This window comes from Homo sapiens, chromosome 15, assembly GCF_000001405.40.
Source record: "Homo sapiens chromosome 15, GRCh38.p14 Primary Assembly".
Lineage (NCBI taxonomy): Eukaryota > Metazoa > Chordata > Mammalia > Primates > Hominidae > Homo > Homo sapiens.
The window spans coordinates 21173025-21190216 of record NC_000015.10 but is presented as its reverse complement, the minus strand read 5'-3'; the positions used below and the strand labels follow the sequence as shown (position 1 = coordinate 21190216).

Sequence of the window (17192 nt, the reverse complement as noted above, 5' to 3'; positions counted from 1 at the left end):
ACTCCACCACGTTTGCCCAGCCTCCGCAAGGCTCTCAGGGGTCCTCTTAGGTTCTGGGCTCCATCAACTGTCATCCCTTTGATGGCATCTCCAAGGTTTGGATTCGTGGGAAGGAGCCAGCAGCCTGTATTAATTAATCCCCTCATAAAGGAACCAAAAGCCAAATTTACAAACAAAAATCATAACATTAGATGCTGTCAGGGGCAGAGGAAATGGAGACGTGGAAAGCTGCTGGTGGGCGTGTGAACTGTCACACCCTCCCGAGGACCTCGTGGCAACTCGTTCCAAATGCCTGGAGAGTGGACCCTGGCATTCTATGACGAGGTGGCATCTGCCCTCTAAATACAACTAGACACCCTGGAAAAAATTTAACAGACATAAGAGGACTCTAGGAAGTGTAGAGGAAGAAAGGCTGTCCAGGAACCTCGGGACTTTGGGGGTGACGCTGTACAAGGCCCTGAGTTTTCTTTTTCTCTCATCTCCTGGATGGGCCCAGAGAACCCTGCAACCTGTAACTGCCAAAACCTGCAGGGACAAAAAAGAAAAGAAAACGAGCCTATTTTCTCTGGTGAAAGGACTGAGAAGGGTATCTCACTGAAGACCCAGTGAGGAGATTCCTACTGATCCATGCCACAGCAGCTCCGCTCAAGCCTGGCCCTCAGCATCACACCCAGGCCACAAAGGCTCTGCTGACCACGGCGCAGAGACCACACCCAGCACCCGGCGTTTCCTTAACCTACCCCCGCCGCACAGGGCAACCCCAGCAACATGCACAGGGATTGAACCAGAGCCCCAGCAGATCCAGAAGAACAAACGAGACCAGAATAGCACTGGGAGGGCTTTGAAAACTAAATTGTCATTGACTCTACATTTCCCCTAAAGCAGGCTGGGGCCTATATGGTAAACCAAATAAGGGTACCATGGACTGAACTGGAATGTTCAAATAGGATAAAAAGTTTCCTTACATAATAACCGAAATCTCCAGAACATATTTGAAATTATTTGTCATATCAGGAAACATAAAAAGCAACTTGAAGCCTGGTGAGGGGGCTCCCACCTGTAATCCCAGCACTTTGGAAGGTCAATCAGGAGGATGGCTTGAGCCCGGGAGTTTGAGATCTGCCTGGGCAACACAGCATGACCCTGTCTCTACAAACAATTTAAAAATTAGCCAGCTGTGGTGGCACACACCTGTGGTGGCACACACCTGTGGTGCCAGCTACTTAGGAGGCTGAAGCAGGAGGACTGCTTGAGCCCGGCAGTTTGAGGCTGCAGTGAGCCGAGATCATGCTACTGCACACCAGTCTGAGCATCAGAGTAAGACTCTGTCTCAAAAACATAACAGAGCAAAACAAAAAACAACTTAAATAGCAAAATAAGATTAACCAAGATAAATCAGATGTTAGAACTTTAAAGCAGCCATCATAAAAGTGCTTCAGAAAACAATGGTGAATTTTCTTGAAACAAGAACAAAATGAAAATCATACAACTGAAAAATACAATAACTAAATGAAAAAATGTGCAGTTGGGTACAATAGCAGAGTGGAGACGACAGAGAACAGAGTCTCTTGATTCAAGGACAATTAATAGAGCTGGCCCATAGGAACGATGGAGAGATAGGAGACTGAGAAATGAACGCCTCCTCGGGGATGGGTGGGACAGTGACAAAAGGCCCAGCGTTCCTGTCACCAGAGTCCCAGGAGGAGAGGAAGGAATGTGTGGTGAAAAAGTATTCAAAGGCACAGTGGTTGAAGATGTCCCAAATTTGGTGAAAGAAGTAAACCTGCAGATTCAAGAATCTGAGCAAACCCCAAATAGGATAAACACATCATAACGGAACTTCAGGAAAGGAAAGATGAAGAAAAAAATCTTTTAAACCACCAGAGAAAAACGATGCATTAAGGGACGCTGGTTCTGAGGATGGTGGGCTTCTCTAAAACCACGAGGCAGAGGGGGCGACACACCATCACCAGGTGCTGAGAAAAACTGTCTGCCCAGAACCCTATTCAGTGAACGTATCCTTCAGGGATGAGGGGGAAATAAAGATATTCTAAGAGGAAGGACAACTAGGATAATTTGTTACCAGAAAACCTACCCTTAATAAATGGCTGAAGGAAGCTCTACTAACGAAAAGGAAATAAGGAAATCAGAAATAGCAACAACAGAAGGGGTAATCATATGGTAAGTATAATAGACTATGATGAGTTTCTTAAATTGTATTTTATGGTTGAAGCAAAAAATATTAACATCATCTGCTGCGGTGCTCTACATCTGAACAGGAAATATTTATGATAATTACATGTTTAAGTGGGGGAGGAAAAGGGGAAGTAAATAAAAGTAAGCTTTTGATATTTCTCATGAAGTGGTGAAACATTGATGCCAGCAGGCTGTGATAAGTTACATGGGTATATTATAATCAATCCTAGAGCAGCCACTTAGAAAACGATACAAAGCAATGCACCCAAAAGTATAAATAATTCAAAATGAAATGCTAAAAACTGTTTAAGTAATCCATGACAAGTGAAACAAAACAGAATAAAGGAAACATAAGAAACATGCAGAAAGCAAATAAAAATGGCACATTTGAATCCTAAATATGATTTCTGTGTGGTAAAGAATTTGGCCTAGCCCAAAGAAGAGGTCTAGCCTTTGTCCTGGCTCCTGGCAAGTAGTCCTGAAGACCATGTGACAGGAGGGTCTTTGCTATTCATGGTGGGTCCCTCAGACTATACCTGAAGTTTATGCTACCAGCTGGCTCATGGTGGGCCCTCCCAGGAATGTGCTGTCAGCCCCAGATTCCGGGAAAGGGAGAGATGAAGACAGAGTTCCAACCAGTCTCCAACAGATCAGTCAATTATGGCTGCACAATGCAGTTCCAGGAAACACTCCGGACACCAAGGCTTGGGTGAGGTTCCTAGGTTGGCAGTGCTTCATGGTATTGTCACACGTGGATGCTGGGAGAGTAATGCACCTGAGGACAACAGAGGCTTCACAGACCCTCCTAGCCCTGCTCTCTGTGCTGGTTCTGATTTGTATCCTTTCCCTGCAGTAAACAGTAACCATGTGTACAGCAGTTTTCAATGACTTCTGTGAGTTCTTCCAGCAAATGATTGAAACTTAGGGTGCTTTGGAAACCTCTAAAACTTGCTGTTGGTGTCAGGAATGAGGGAAATTTTAGGAACCATGCCCTCAGACTTTGCAGTTTGGTTAAATCTGGGAAAAACACAGAAATAGCAGAGTAAATGCAAAAATATGACCCATTATATGATGTCCATAAGATATTCAGTTCTAATACCATGGCATAGGTTTTTAACAGATTCGAAGTGAAAGAACAGAAAAAAGGCCGGGCGCGGTGGCTCACGCCTGTAATCCCAGCACTTTGGGAGGCCGAGGTGGGCGGATCACGAGGTCAGGAGATCGACACCATCCTGGCTAACACGGTGAAACCCCATCTCTACTAAAAATACAAAAAATTAGCCGGGCGTGGTAGCGGGCGCCTGTAGTCCCAGCTACTCGGGAGGCTGAGGCAGGAGAATGGCGTGAACCCGGGAGGCGGAGCTTGCAGTGAGCCGAGATCGCGCCACTGCACTCCAGCCTGGGCGACAGAGCGAGACTCCGTCTCAAAAAAAAAAAAAAAAAAAAAAAAAAAAAGAACAGAAAAAAAAATTTCATGCAAACAAACAGGAACTTTTAAAAAAGCAGGAGTTGCTATAATAATATCAGATAGAGTTCATGGCAAAAAGAATTTCTAGAACAAAAGAGGAATATTACATAATAACAAAAGAGCAAGAGTATATCTTGATCCTAAATATATGTGCACCAAACAACACAGCTTCAAAACACATGAAGCAAAACCTGATAGAGCTTAAAAAAGAAATAGAAAAATCCATAATTATAGTTGGGATATGTCGACATCTCACTTTCAGAATTTGTAAAATTACTAGAAAAAAAATCAGCAAGAATATAGGATAACTAAACAATATTATTAGCCAATAGGGTAAAATTAACATTTATGGAAAACTCTATCCATCAACAGCAAACTATGCATTATTTTCAAGCTCTTATAGAACAGACTCTAGATCTTAAAACAAACCTTAACAAATTTTTAAAAACTGAAATCATACAAAGAGTGTCCTCTGACCAAAATGGAATCAAACTGGAAATAAATTGCAGAAAGACAAGAGAAAAATCTGCAAACACTTGGAAATTAAGCAGTAAACATTTATATACAATGTGGACAAGAAGAAGTCTCAAAGGGAATTTTTAAAAAGCAAGTAACAATGAAAATATGGCATATCAAAATTTGTGGATGAGGCTGGGTGCAATGGCTTACTCCTGTAATCCCAGCACTTTGGGAGGCTGTGGCAGGTGGATCGCTTTTTGAGCCCAGGAGTTCAAGACTAGCCTGGGCAACATGGTGAAATCCCTATCTCTGCAAAAAATTATCCAGGTGTGGTGGCATGCACCTGTAGTCCCAGTTACTTGGGAGGCTGAGATAGGGAGGATTGCTTGAGCCCAGAAGGTTGAGGCTGCAGCGAGTGGAGATTGTGCTACTGCACTCCAGCTTCGGTGACAGAATGAGACCCTGTCTTAAAAAACAATTGAGGGATTCAGCTATAGCAGAGCTGAGAGAGAAATTTATAGCACTAAATCCTTATATTAGTAATATGGAAAGTTCTCAAACCAGTAGTCAAAAAACTAAAAGAGGAATAGTAAAATAAAGTTAAGGCAAATAGGACGGAAAGCGAAGAGCAGAAATTGATGAAATTAAAAACAGGAAAGCAATGCAGAACATTAAGGAAATAAAAAACAGGTTCTTCAAAAAATTAATAAAACTGATAATCCTCTAGCATGATCAACAAAGATAAAAGGAGATAACACACAAATCAGCAATATCAGGAATGAAACAAGAAATATCACAAAAGAGGCTGCATCTATGAAAAATGCTATAAAAATTTTATGCTCATACATTTGACAGCCTAGGAAAAAATGGATCAATTCCTTGAAAACCACAAATTACCACAACTCAGAAAAGATGAAATATATAAAAGCCTGAATAGTCCTATAATCATTATATAAATTGGATTTGTAACTAAAAAGCTCCTGAACACAATATATCCAGACCCAGTGGTTTCACTGGAGAATTTACCAAATATTTAAAGAAGAATCAACACCAGTTTTACACAGTCTCTTCCAGAAAATAGAAGAGAAAGGACTATGATATCATTATTTTGATATCAAAACAAAACAAAGACAGCACAAAGGAAGGAAGGAAGGGAGGGAGGAAGGAGGCAGGGACAGAGGAAAGAACCTTGCAGGCTGATTTTGCTCATAAGCTTAGATGGAAAAATCCTCAAGACAGTGTCAGCAAATCAAATTTAGTGATGCATAAAAAGAGTAGTAGACCACAATCAAGAGGAATTTCACTCAAGTTATGCAAGACTGTTTTAATATTTGAAAAGCCAATCCACATATTCTGTTTTGTAAACTGAAGAAAAATCATAATGATCTTATCAATTGACATAGGAAAAGGTTTTGACAAAATTCAAAACCCATTCATGATATAAACTCTTAGCAAACTTGGAATAGAGGGTAATTTCCTCCAACTTCATAAAGAGCATTTACAAAAATCTACAGTTAACATCACACTTAATGGTGAAAGAATGAATGCTTTCCCCTTAAGAGCAGGAACAAGGCAAGAATGTTCCCTTTCACCATTTTAATTCAAGATAGTACTAGAAGTTCTAACCAGTGTAATAAGACCAGAAAAAGAAATAAAAAGTATGCAGATTGAAAAGAAAGAAAGAAAACTATCACTACTTGCATGTGGCATAATCATCTACATAAACAGTCCCATGGAACAAAAAAAAAATCCTTGATATAAAGAGTGAGAATATCAAGGCTGCAATACACAAGAATAACACACATACACAAATTACATCTCTCTATGGTAACAATAAACAAGTGGAAACCAAAATAAAAACTGCAATACCATTTACAACTGCTCAAAATACATGAAGTATTAATATGTAGGAATAAATCTAATAAAACATATACAGGAGAATATATGCAAATTACAAAATTCTGCTGAAAGAAATCAAACATCTACATAAATGGAGAGTCATGCCATATTCAGGGATGGGAATTCTCAACATAGATGTCAGCTTCCTTCAAATTGCAGGTTTAATAGAATTCTAAATCTTGGCATTGTTTTTTGTATACATATGCAAACTTATTGTAAACTTTATATTAAAAGGAAGTGGACCTAGTTTAGCTGAAACAATTCTGAAAAAGAATAATTAAATAGAAGAAATCACTGTACCAATTATTAAAGCTTACTCTACAACTACAGTAATCAACTCAGTATGGTGCTGGTGGAGGGAGAGACACATTAATTACTGGTGCAAGATAGAGATCCCACCCCAGAAATATGCTTAATTAATTTTTGAGAAAGATGCAACAGCAGTTTAGTAGAGGACTGATAGCCCTTTCAGCAAGTGCTGCAGGAACAATCAGACATCCATAGGCAAGGAGATGAGGCTTGGCCTGACCTTCACATTTTATACAAAACATAACACAAGGATCATGGGCTTAAATGTCAAACTGTAATATTTTCAGGAAAAAAAAAAGAAGAAAATCTTCAGGATCAGGGACTAGGCAGAGCCCTTAGACTTGACATCAAAATACAATTTATAAAAGAAAAAATTGATAAATTGGACCTCATCAAAATTAAATTTTTTTTTGCTCTGCAAAAGACGCAATTGGGATGATGGAAAGATAAGTTACAGAATGAGAGAAAATATTTGCAAATCACATATCTGACAAAGAACTTGTGTCAAGAATAAAGAACTCTCAGAACTCAACATAAAATAAATAAGTAATCAAATTAAAAATGCGCAAATGACATGAACAGATATTTGACCAAAGCAAATATTCTTTGTACATGAAAGGATGGTCAGCAACATTAGCCATTAGGAAAGTTGAAATTAAAACCACAATGAGACATCACTACATATTAGAATGGCTTTTTAAAAAGTGATTAGCACTAGGCTGGGTGCAGTAGTTCACGCTCGTAATCCCAGAATTTTGGGAGGCCGAGGCGAGTGGATCATTTGAGATCAGGAGTTTGAGACCAGCCTGGCCAACAGGGTGAAACCCCATCACCCCTAGTGACCCACTAGCAAAAGTTTTGCTCCTTGTCCCCACCACCTTATGCTCTGCTGGCCTAGAGGTCTTAGTTCCAGAGGGAGGAATGCTGCCGCCAAAAGACAGAGGGATGATCCATTGCGCTGGAAGTTTAGGCTGCCATCTGGTGGCACCAAGCTCCTCATGCCTCTGGATCAACAGGTAAAGAAGGAGTTAACTACGCTGGTGGGGGTGGCTGGTCCAGATCACCAAGGAGAAACTGCCCTGCTGCTTCACAATGGACTGAGGAAGAGCATGTCTGGGGTACAGGAGGGCCCTCGTGGCATGCGCTGTGATTAAGATCAATGGAAAAGCACAACAGCCCAATCTCGGCAGGATTAATAATGGTCCAGAACCTTCAGGAATGAAGGTTCCCCCACCAGGTTAAAAACCACAACCAGTGGAGGCTTCCTGAAGGCAAAGGGAATACAGACTGGGGAGTGCAAGAAGGTAGTTATAGGACCATGTGACCAGCTACAGAAACCAGGACTGCAATTGTCATGAAACTTTCCTCCTTATTTGCTGAGAGAGATAGAGAGAGAGAGTGTTTAAAGTTTTGGAAGAAAACATAGGAAGAAATCTTCATTAATTGAGGTTAGGGAAATTGTTCTTAGACATGATGCCAAATGCATGTAAAAACAAAAATCCGTCAATTAGACTTGATCAAAATAAAAAATATAGCTTTGCAAAAGACACTATTAAAAGACACTGAAAAGACAGCTATAGGCTGGGAGAGAATATCTACAAACCACATATCCAACGAAGAAAGTAGTCTGACATATATAAAGAACTCTTAAAATCAAGTTAGAAAACCATCCAAACAAAAGTGGGTAAAAGACTTGGACCCTCACTGAAGAGGACGCTCTATGTGGAAGACAGAAAGCCTATGAGAGACCATCGACACTAATCACTAGGGAAATGCAAATCAAAACCATAGTGAGGTGCCACTGGAAAGCAGTTTGACAGTTCTGTTAAACCACATGGCCCAGCAGTCCCATAACGAATTTTCCTGGAGTAAGGAAAATTTGTGTTCACATGAAAACCTCTGCAGAAATGTTTATGGCAACTCTATGCATAATCGCCTAAATCTGGACACAACCACACGTCCTCCCATGGCTGAAGAGGTAACCACCTGTGTCTCCCTGTGTAGGCTAACACCATTCCACAATTGAAAGGAACATGTCACTGACACACAGAGCATTGGGGTGGATCTCAAAAACATGATGCTTAGCGAAAGCAGCCAGTTACAAAGAGCCCATGCTGCATATCTCCACTCACATGACCTTCCTGAGACAATGGCGTGACAGGGATAGAAGGCAAATCAGCAGTCAGCAGGGTTGGGTGGGGAGGGCTGGACTCCAGCAAGAGGGGTGCCATTCCTCGGCATCCTGACTGTGGAACCTTGTACGTGTGAAAATTCTCAGACCTAAACACCTCTTTTAAATGGGACCAGATGGGGAAATAAAACTATCATTTTTTGGTCATCTGTTTCGTATCAGTCACCACAGGTACAGTTGTGACCCTTGAACAACACAAGTCTGAACTACATGGGTCCACCTACATACAGATTTTTTCTTAAAAAAATTTCTTTTTTAAATTAAATCTTCTTAAATAGACATGGGGTTGGCCAGGCGTAATGGCTCATGCCTGTAATCCCAGCACTTTGGGAGGCCAAGATGGGCAGATCACGAGGTCAGGAGATTGAGAACATCTTGGCCAACATAGTGAAACCTCATCTCTACTAAAAATACAAAAAAAAAAAAAATCTGGGTGTGGTGGCATGCACCTGTGGTCCCAGCTACTCAGAAGGCTGAGGCAGGAGAATCACTTGAACCCAGGAGGTGGAGGTTGCAGTGAGCCGAGATCATGCCACTGAACTCCAGTCTGAGCAACAAGAGCGAAATTCCGTCTCAAAAAAAAAAAAAAAAAAAAACAACACACACGGGGTCTTGCTATGTTGCTCAGACTGGTCTTGAACTCCAGGACTCAAGTAACCCTCCCAACCTTGGCCTCCCAAATTGCTGGGATCACAGGCATGAACCACCACACCTGGTCCACTTTTTTTTTCAATAAATATATTGGAAAAATGTATTGGAAAATTTCACATCAGCCATGCCAGCAGATGTGAAACCTTGCTCTTTTGGCCAAATGCCTTTTTACCTGGTCTTGGAAATGCAGCTTTTGGACAGATGTAGTAGCTCATGCTTGTAATCCCAGCACTTTGGGAGGCTGAGGCAGGAGGATCACTGGAGCCTAGGAGATGGAGGTTGCACTAAGCATTGCAACCATTTGAAGAAACTTGCAGATGAACCTTGTAGCCTAGAAATATTGAAAAAGTTAAGAAAAAGGTATGTCATGAATGCATAAAATACTAGCATATTTTTATCATTTACCACCATAAAACATACATATATCATTTATAAACATACATATATCAATTATAAACAGTTAAAATTTATCAAAAGTTATGCACACAAACACAGTACATGGTGCCAGTCAAGAGAAATGTAAACAAATGTAAAGATGCAGTATTAAGTCATAATTGCATAAATTAATGGGAGCCCACTGTACTACTGTAATAATTCTGTCACCCCTCCTGCTACTATTGCAGTGAGCTCAGGTGTCCAGTGTCCACTTAAAATGCCATGTGACACTAGCCATCTCCACGTGAGCACTTGTCTCTCCTGTAGATTGTGTATCACAGTGAAAAGTAATCTCTTGTGGTTCTCATGTATTTTTCATGTTTAGTGCAATACAATAAACCTGAAGAAGACATGTACGAAATGCCACTAGTGATGCTGGAAGTGCTGCCAAGAAGCAGAGAAAAGACAGTACAAGAAAAAGATGGATTGATTGATATGTACTGTAGACTGAGGTCTGCAGCTGTGGTTGCCCACCATTTCAAGATAAATTAATCCAGCCTAAGAACCGCTGTAAAATAAGAAAAGGAAATTCGCAGTGTCATCACTGCAGCCATGCTAGCAGACATGAAACTTTGCTCTTTTTGCCAAATACCTTTTTATCTAGTCTTGAAAATGTAGCTTTTGGCTGGATGTAGTAGCTCATGCCTTTAATCCCAGTACTTTGGGAGACCGAGGCAGGAGGATCACTTGAGCCCAAGAGGTGGAGGCTGCAGTAAGCCAAGATCACACAACTGCACTCCAGCCTGGAAGCGAGGCTCTGTCAGGGTGAAAAAAAAAAAGATGAAAGAAGGAAGGAAGGACAGAGAAATAGAGAAAACGCAGCTTTTATCTGGGTGAAGGATATCTACAAGAAAAGCATATCTATAGACTCTAATATGATTCAAGAAAAACTGATGTCATTATATGACAACCTAAAATGAGACTGGTGGAGGTTGGTGACTTAAAATTATGAGATCTACAAATTTGGAGAGGCTAAAGTACAGTGGCACAATCATGACTAACTGCAGCCTCAACCTCCTGGGCTCAGGCAATCTCCCACCTCAGCCTCCCAAGTAGCTGGAACTACAGGTGTGTGCCACCATGCCTGGCTAATTTTCAAACTTGTTTTTGTAGAGACAGGGGTCCCACTATCTTGCCCAGCTGGTCTCGAACTCTTGAACTCAAGCAATCCTCCCACCTCGACCTTCTAAAGTGCTGAGATTACAGGCATGAGCCGCTGTGCCAGGCCAAGAGCCTTATTTTCTTTCTTTTTTTTTTTTGTCTGACAGAGTCTAGCTCTATCATCCAGGCTGGAGTGCAGTGGTGCGATCTCAGTTCACTGCAACCTTTGCCTCTCAGGTTCAAGCAATTCTCCTGCCTCAGCCACCCGATTAGCTGGGAAGACAGGCACATGCCACTACATCTGGTTAATTTTTGTATTTTTTTCTAGGTAGAGATGGGGTTTCGCCATGTTGGCCAGGCTGGGCTCAAACTCCTGGTCTCAAGTGATCCACCCAACTCAGCCTCTCAAAGTGCTGGGATTACAGGCGTGAGCCACTGGGCCAGCCCAAAAGCTTTATTTCTTAGAAAGGTTGCAGCCTGCAGGCTGGCCATCTTGACAGGCTGGGAAGTGTAGCCTCCAGCAAAGACCAAAAGCAGGCACTTCCAGGGAAAGATGAGACAGGAAGTTATGCTGAAAGGGTTGGCTAAACGTACATATTCAACAGATTATAGAAGGCTCTATTAATATTCATGAAGGGGGTGAGACACACCTATTTCACACATTACATACGTCCCATATTCATTTTGGAGTGGAGGCAACATTTAAATGCATTAAAATTGGGCCCTATATGTCAAAAGGTGAAGCAGAAGGTTCGAAGGCTCTCAGTGCCCAGCCTTCCTACTGGAGAAAACTGGTCCCGATTTACAACAGGGCCAATCAAGGAAATCATGAAAGAGAGTGTGCCTGTGGCAAAAAAGGTGGGGAATGTAGGCTTTCAGGATATGGATCTTGGAGAAATTCAAGAGTGAAGAGACATCACACCAGAGGAATTAACAGAAGACCACTTGATGGAGATGAGTGTTTTCGAATCAGTGCCAGATGATGAGGAAGAGGATGTAGATGCAGTGCCAGAAAATAAGTTGACATTCGACAATCTGGCAGAGGAGTTCTGATTATTCAAGACTACTTGTGACTTCTACCACATGGACCTTTCTATGGTACGGACACCAAAACTAAAGCAAATGGTGGAAGAAGGATTGGTAACATAAAGAAACATATTTAGAGAAATGAAAAAGCAAAAATGTCAGACAGAAATAACGATGAATTTCTCAGTGTGTGTGCATCTCCTGACTTCCTTCCCATCTCCCTGACCTTTTCTGCCTCTGCCATCCCTGAGATGACAGGACCAACCTCTTCTCTTCTTCAGCCTACTCAATGTGAAGACGATATGGATGAAAACCTTTATGATGATCCACTTCCATTTAGTGATAGTGAATACATTCTCTTCCTTATGATTTTATTAGTACTTTTTCTTTTCTGTAGCTTACTTCATTGTAAGAATACAGTATACAATACAAATCACATGCAAAATATGTGTTGAGTGTTTATGTTATTGGTAAGGCTTCTGGCCAATAGTAGGCTATTAACAAAAGTTGTGGTGAGTTGAAAGTTATATGTGGATTTTTTTTTTTTTTTTTGAGACAGAGTCTTGCTCTGTCCTGCAGGCTGGAGTGCAGTGGTGAGATCTCAGCTCACTGCAACCTCCACCTCCTGGGTCCAAGCAATTCTCCTGCCTCAGCCTCCTGAGTAGCTGGGATTACAGGTGCGCACCACCACACCTAATTTTTGTATTTTTAGTAGAGCCGGGGTTTCACCATGTTGATCAGGCTGGTCTCAAACTCCTGACCTCATGATCTACCCACCTCAGCTTCCCCAAGTGCTGGGATTACAAGCGTGAGCCACCACACCTGGCCTATATGTGGATTTTTGACTGTGTGGGAAGGTTGGCACCCCATCCCCTTCATGGGAACTGTAGTCTCATTAAATCCTCACATGCTGCAAGATTGGTTTATTATCCCCATCTTACAGATAAGAAACTTAAAACCCAAGAGATTTTGTACATTGCCCAGAGTCACATCACTGGTGAGTGGCAGAAACTGGAGCCCCCACCCAGACTATCCCTGACCTGAGCACAGGTTGCCAAGTGTGCGTGCAGCAGTCAGAGACACTGGGAGATGGAGACTGCCCTCCGTATTGAGGCCACTTATATATCTGGCTTCTGTGAAACAGCCTTGCTTAGCTCCACCACTCGGTTTTGGTCAAATGAACCACAGCAGGATCATGTGGACTTCCTGAGCACTGGTTTGCATGTATGAGTTGGACTTGGTGATCTCTTTGAGGTGTGTGGAGATACTAAGCTAGTGGAAAAAGTGCTGAACAGACTGGGACCGGTGGCTCACGCCTGTAATCCCAGCCCTTTGGGAGGCCAAGGCAGGAGGATCTCTTGAGGCCAGCCTGGGCAACATAGTGAGACCTTGTCTCTACAAAAAAAAATTAAAAATTTTTAAAATGCTGAACAAAAACCCACCTGTGTTCAATCTTGGCTCCTCCCTGGATAATGTACCCACTCCCAAGTGTAGGTGTTGGTAACTCTTGGGAGTACATCTTAAGCCCAGGTAGCACATCAACCGGAGTTCCAGACAGTTCCCCAGCTGCCGCCTCAGATGTCTCTACCTGGCTGTCCCACAGGTGCCCATCACTCCACCTGGCATCCCAGCCAGACACCTGGGGGCCCTGGGGTACTCCCCGAAAACCCCTTGTTCCTCACAACCCCCAGACCCACTACCCCTCCAATGTTACCTCTCAGAGCTCTAGCACCCACCACTTCTCCCTCTCTGTGCCTCCTCCCCCTGAACTCCCTGCAAACTATCTCCACCCAGTAGCAAAGGGGCTTTTTGAAAAATGAAAATCTGACCATGCTGTCCCGGTTAAATGTTCTCTCAGGGCTTCCTGGTGTCTTGGGATGAAGATAGCATCTTAAGGCGGCCTCATCCCCTGCCTCTCTATTTTCCTCCCCAGCTCCTAGGACTCTGCCGCTGTCCTGGCTCCAGCTACGCTGGCTTGCAGGCGTCATGATGCCCTGTGTCACAGGCCTTTCCACATAACATTCCTGTGCTTGACACACTCTTCTGCTTCCCCAACTCCCAGCCTTTGCCAAGTTAACCAACTTCTGGTCATGGCTCAACCGTCACTTGCTTCCCTAAGGAAGCCTTCTCCAACTTCCTACACCATGTCTAGAGCTGTGCCGTCCTCTACGGGACCACTGCCACATGGGGCCATTGAGCCCTTGAAATGTGCAACTGCTGCCGAGAACTGGAAATTTTTAATTTCAATTAATTTGAATTTCAAACAAGGGACTAGGTTCAGTTACATTTGAAACAAGGGGATATACATCTATTTTTTCAACTGTGAATACTGTGAAACCTAAATATAGATTATTTCCCACAAAATTTAGACCTGAATTGAGAGGTGTTATAAGAGTACACACCGGGCCGGGCACAGTGGCTCATGCCTGTGGTCCTAGCACTTTGGGAGGTTGAGGTAGGCGGAACACCTGAGGTCAGGGGTTCGAGACCAGCCTGGCCAACATGACGAAACCCTGTCTCTACTAAAAATACAAAAAAATTAGCCGGGCGTGGTGGCGGGCACCTGTAATCCCAGCTACTCCAGAGGCTGAGGCAGGAGAATCGCTTGAACCTGGGAGGCTGAGGTTTCAGTGAGCTGAGATCATTCCATTGCACTCCAGCCCGGGCAACAAGAGGGAAACTCTGTCTCAAAAGAGAAAAGAAAACAAAACACTACACCAAATTTCAAAGACTTAGCACAAAACAGGAATGTCAAGTAGTTCAATAATCATTTTTATACTGATTCCATGTTATGATGGTATTTTAGGTACACTGGCTTTATTTATTAGTAAACAGGGTCTCGCTCTGTCGCCCAGGCTGGAGACCTACTGAATTCAGGTCATCCTCCCGCCTCAGCCTCCCGAGTTGCTGGGACCACAGGTGCGCACCACCACGCCCGGCTTTTTTTTTTTTTTTTTTGTAGAGATAGGGTCTTGCCATGTTGCCCAGGGTGCTCTGGAACTCCTGGGCTCAATCGGATCTTCCTGCCTGGGCCTCCCAAGTAGCTGGGATTACAGGTGTAAGCCACCGCGCCCAGCCGGTATACTGGCTTTAAATGATAAAAATGTTCTGAACATTCACCTTCCGGTGTTGGCGCACGGGGCGTGGCGCGGAGTGACCAGCCCTGCCTGGCTCCTTTCAGCAGCAGGCGAAGCGGCTGCAGCGCGTTCTTTAACTTTCCCAGAAAGAACAACAGTTTGTAAAGCGCGCGATCTCATGCATGTCCCGGCCAGCCCAGCAGCTGGGGGTGCAGGGCCACGTCCAGTCTGGGACGCTGCAGGGGCTTCGCTCCTGGATCCCACCTCCTGTGCGTCCCCGGGCGCGGCGCGACAGTCCGGGGTCCTGCACGCTGTGGGGAGCCGCGCTGGGGGCGCCTCGGAAGGACGCGGTTCTCCAGCCCTTTCCGTGCCTAAACAGGACCGAGGCTGAGTTTCTTCGCGTGGGTGGAAACTAAAGCGGGGTTGGGGACAGGGCGCTGGCCATGGGTGCGGTTCCAGGAGCGGGCGCGGGTCCCCGGGCGGGATGGGGGGGGGGGGCGCTCAGGCACAGCGGTGGGGCGAGGGCGCAGCGCCGGGAGCGCAGATCCCAGGGGCCCTCACCGCAGTAGGTGATGGAGGTGTGCAGCAGCACCAGGAAGCATTCCACAGGGCACACATACAGCAAAGCAGCACGCTGTGAGCAGTAAAGATAGGCAAGTTTGTCAATTAAACTTTCATAAAGCTGGGGGAAACAGAAGAAAACGAACCATAACAACAAAAAATAAAGCTGAGAAACATTTAAGAGATTTATTAGTTTGTTTTAAAGTAACAGAAGCAAGCCCATTACATGGTAACATAAGTTGCATATTTTGTGAGAAATGTTTTCCAAAGCAAAAAAAAAAAAAAAAAAAAACCGTGGGAAAGTGGTGGTGCTTCAGTTGTGCGAGCTGTCACGTCCTAACACAGCTGCATCCTCAGCCCGCTGTCCCCCCGCAAGACGCTCCCACTTCCAGTGAAAAGAGATCAATAACATCTCCTTATTGTCACGAAACATTCTTGACTCAACCTCACTCAGCCACTGACAGGGTCGTGAAAATCCCAGGGGTCCCTGGACGGCACAATTGAGTGCCACTGGTTTTTTGGAGAAAAGTGTGGAGGAGTACTGGGGAGTTTGGAGAGGGTCCAGGGAAGGCCGCACCGACCAGTGGTCTCAGGACCAGCGTCCGAAGGAGCAGCGAGGAGGTGGAGGCCGGGAGGGGGACGTAGGAGCTGCCGCATTCCCGGCAGAGGGAACTGCAAGTGTTGAGGACCCCAGGCAAGTGCACTGAGGAATGAAAGGCCACTGTGGCCAGAGCTGGAGGCAGCAGAAGAGAGGCCCTAGAGGAGGGCAGGGGCCAGAGCAGCAGCGAGGCCAGACAAGGGCTGCGGCCTAGAAGCAAAGGGATGCCATGGAAGGAGCCTCGGAAAGTGACATCAAATTTGCATGTTTAAAAGCCGCGCTCAAGAAGTGCCGTCAATCATTAGAGACAGGTATCAGCCAAATAACCACATAAATACTTTTAAAAAACTAAACAATAATTTGGTAATTTCTTGGCTATGACACTAAAAGCACAGGCAACAAAGGAAAAAATAAATTGGACTTCACCAAAATTAAAATACCTTTGCGCATCAAAGGACACTATCAGAGTGAAAAGACACCCCGAAGAACGAGAGAAAATATGTGTGAATGGTTTACCTGATAAGGGTTTAATATCCAGAATATAAAAAGGACTTCTACAATTCAACAACAACAAAAAATCTGATTCAAAGGACTTGAATAGACATTTCTCCAAAGAAGGTCTATAGATGGCCAATATAGAGGAACAGAGAGCTTATACTTACAACTCTCCCCCCGAAACCCACTGTGCCTATTTCTGTGGTATGGAACTATGAGGTCTCAACAGAACAGATGAATAGATCCCAGTTTCTTTTCATGGAAATTTCAGGCCTTGTCTTTGGGCCACTAAGGTGCTTATTTCCCAGACTAACAAAAATAATCTAGCTTTTTGTCTTGACTACCAAACACTCTGGATTTTTTTTTGAGATGGAGTCTCACCCTGTCACCCAGGCTAGAGTGCAGTGGCGCGATCTTGGCTCACACAACCTCCACCTCCCAGGTTCAAGCAATTCTCCTGTCTCAGCCTCCCAAGTAACTGGGACTACAGGCACACACCACCACGCCCGGCTAATTTTTGTATTTTCAGTAGAGATGGGGTTTCACCATGTTGGTCATGCTGGTCTTGAACTCCTGACCTCAGGTGATCCACCTGCCTTGGCCTCCCAAAGTGCTAGGATTACAGGCATGAGCCACCATGCCCGGCCCACTCTGGATTTAAGGACAGTTCTTCCTTCAATCAGCAGCCAAAGAGTCCTGATTCCTGATTCTAATTAAGAAGTTTAA

At 43.9% G+C, this 17192-nt stretch overlaps 1 long non-coding RNA gene across 2 annotated transcripts; it reads right to left on the bottom strand.

Moving 5' to 3' along the window:
• Window positions 1-352: 352 nt before the first annotated feature.
• LOC105379205 (uncharacterized) lies at window positions 353-10303 on the bottom strand. Of its 2 annotated transcripts, none has more exons than XR_948839.4 (3): window positions 10201-10303; window positions 9346-9504; window positions 353-525 (listed from the first exon to the last, which is right to left on the bottom strand). It is a non-coding gene; the product is annotated as an uncharacterized LOC105379205 (long non-coding RNA). The 2 variants fall into 2 exon arrangements; XR_001751426.2 differs by lacking the exon at window positions 353-525 and adding an exon at window positions 3034-3213.
• Between the last annotated feature and the right edge of the window lie 6889 nt (window positions 10304-17192).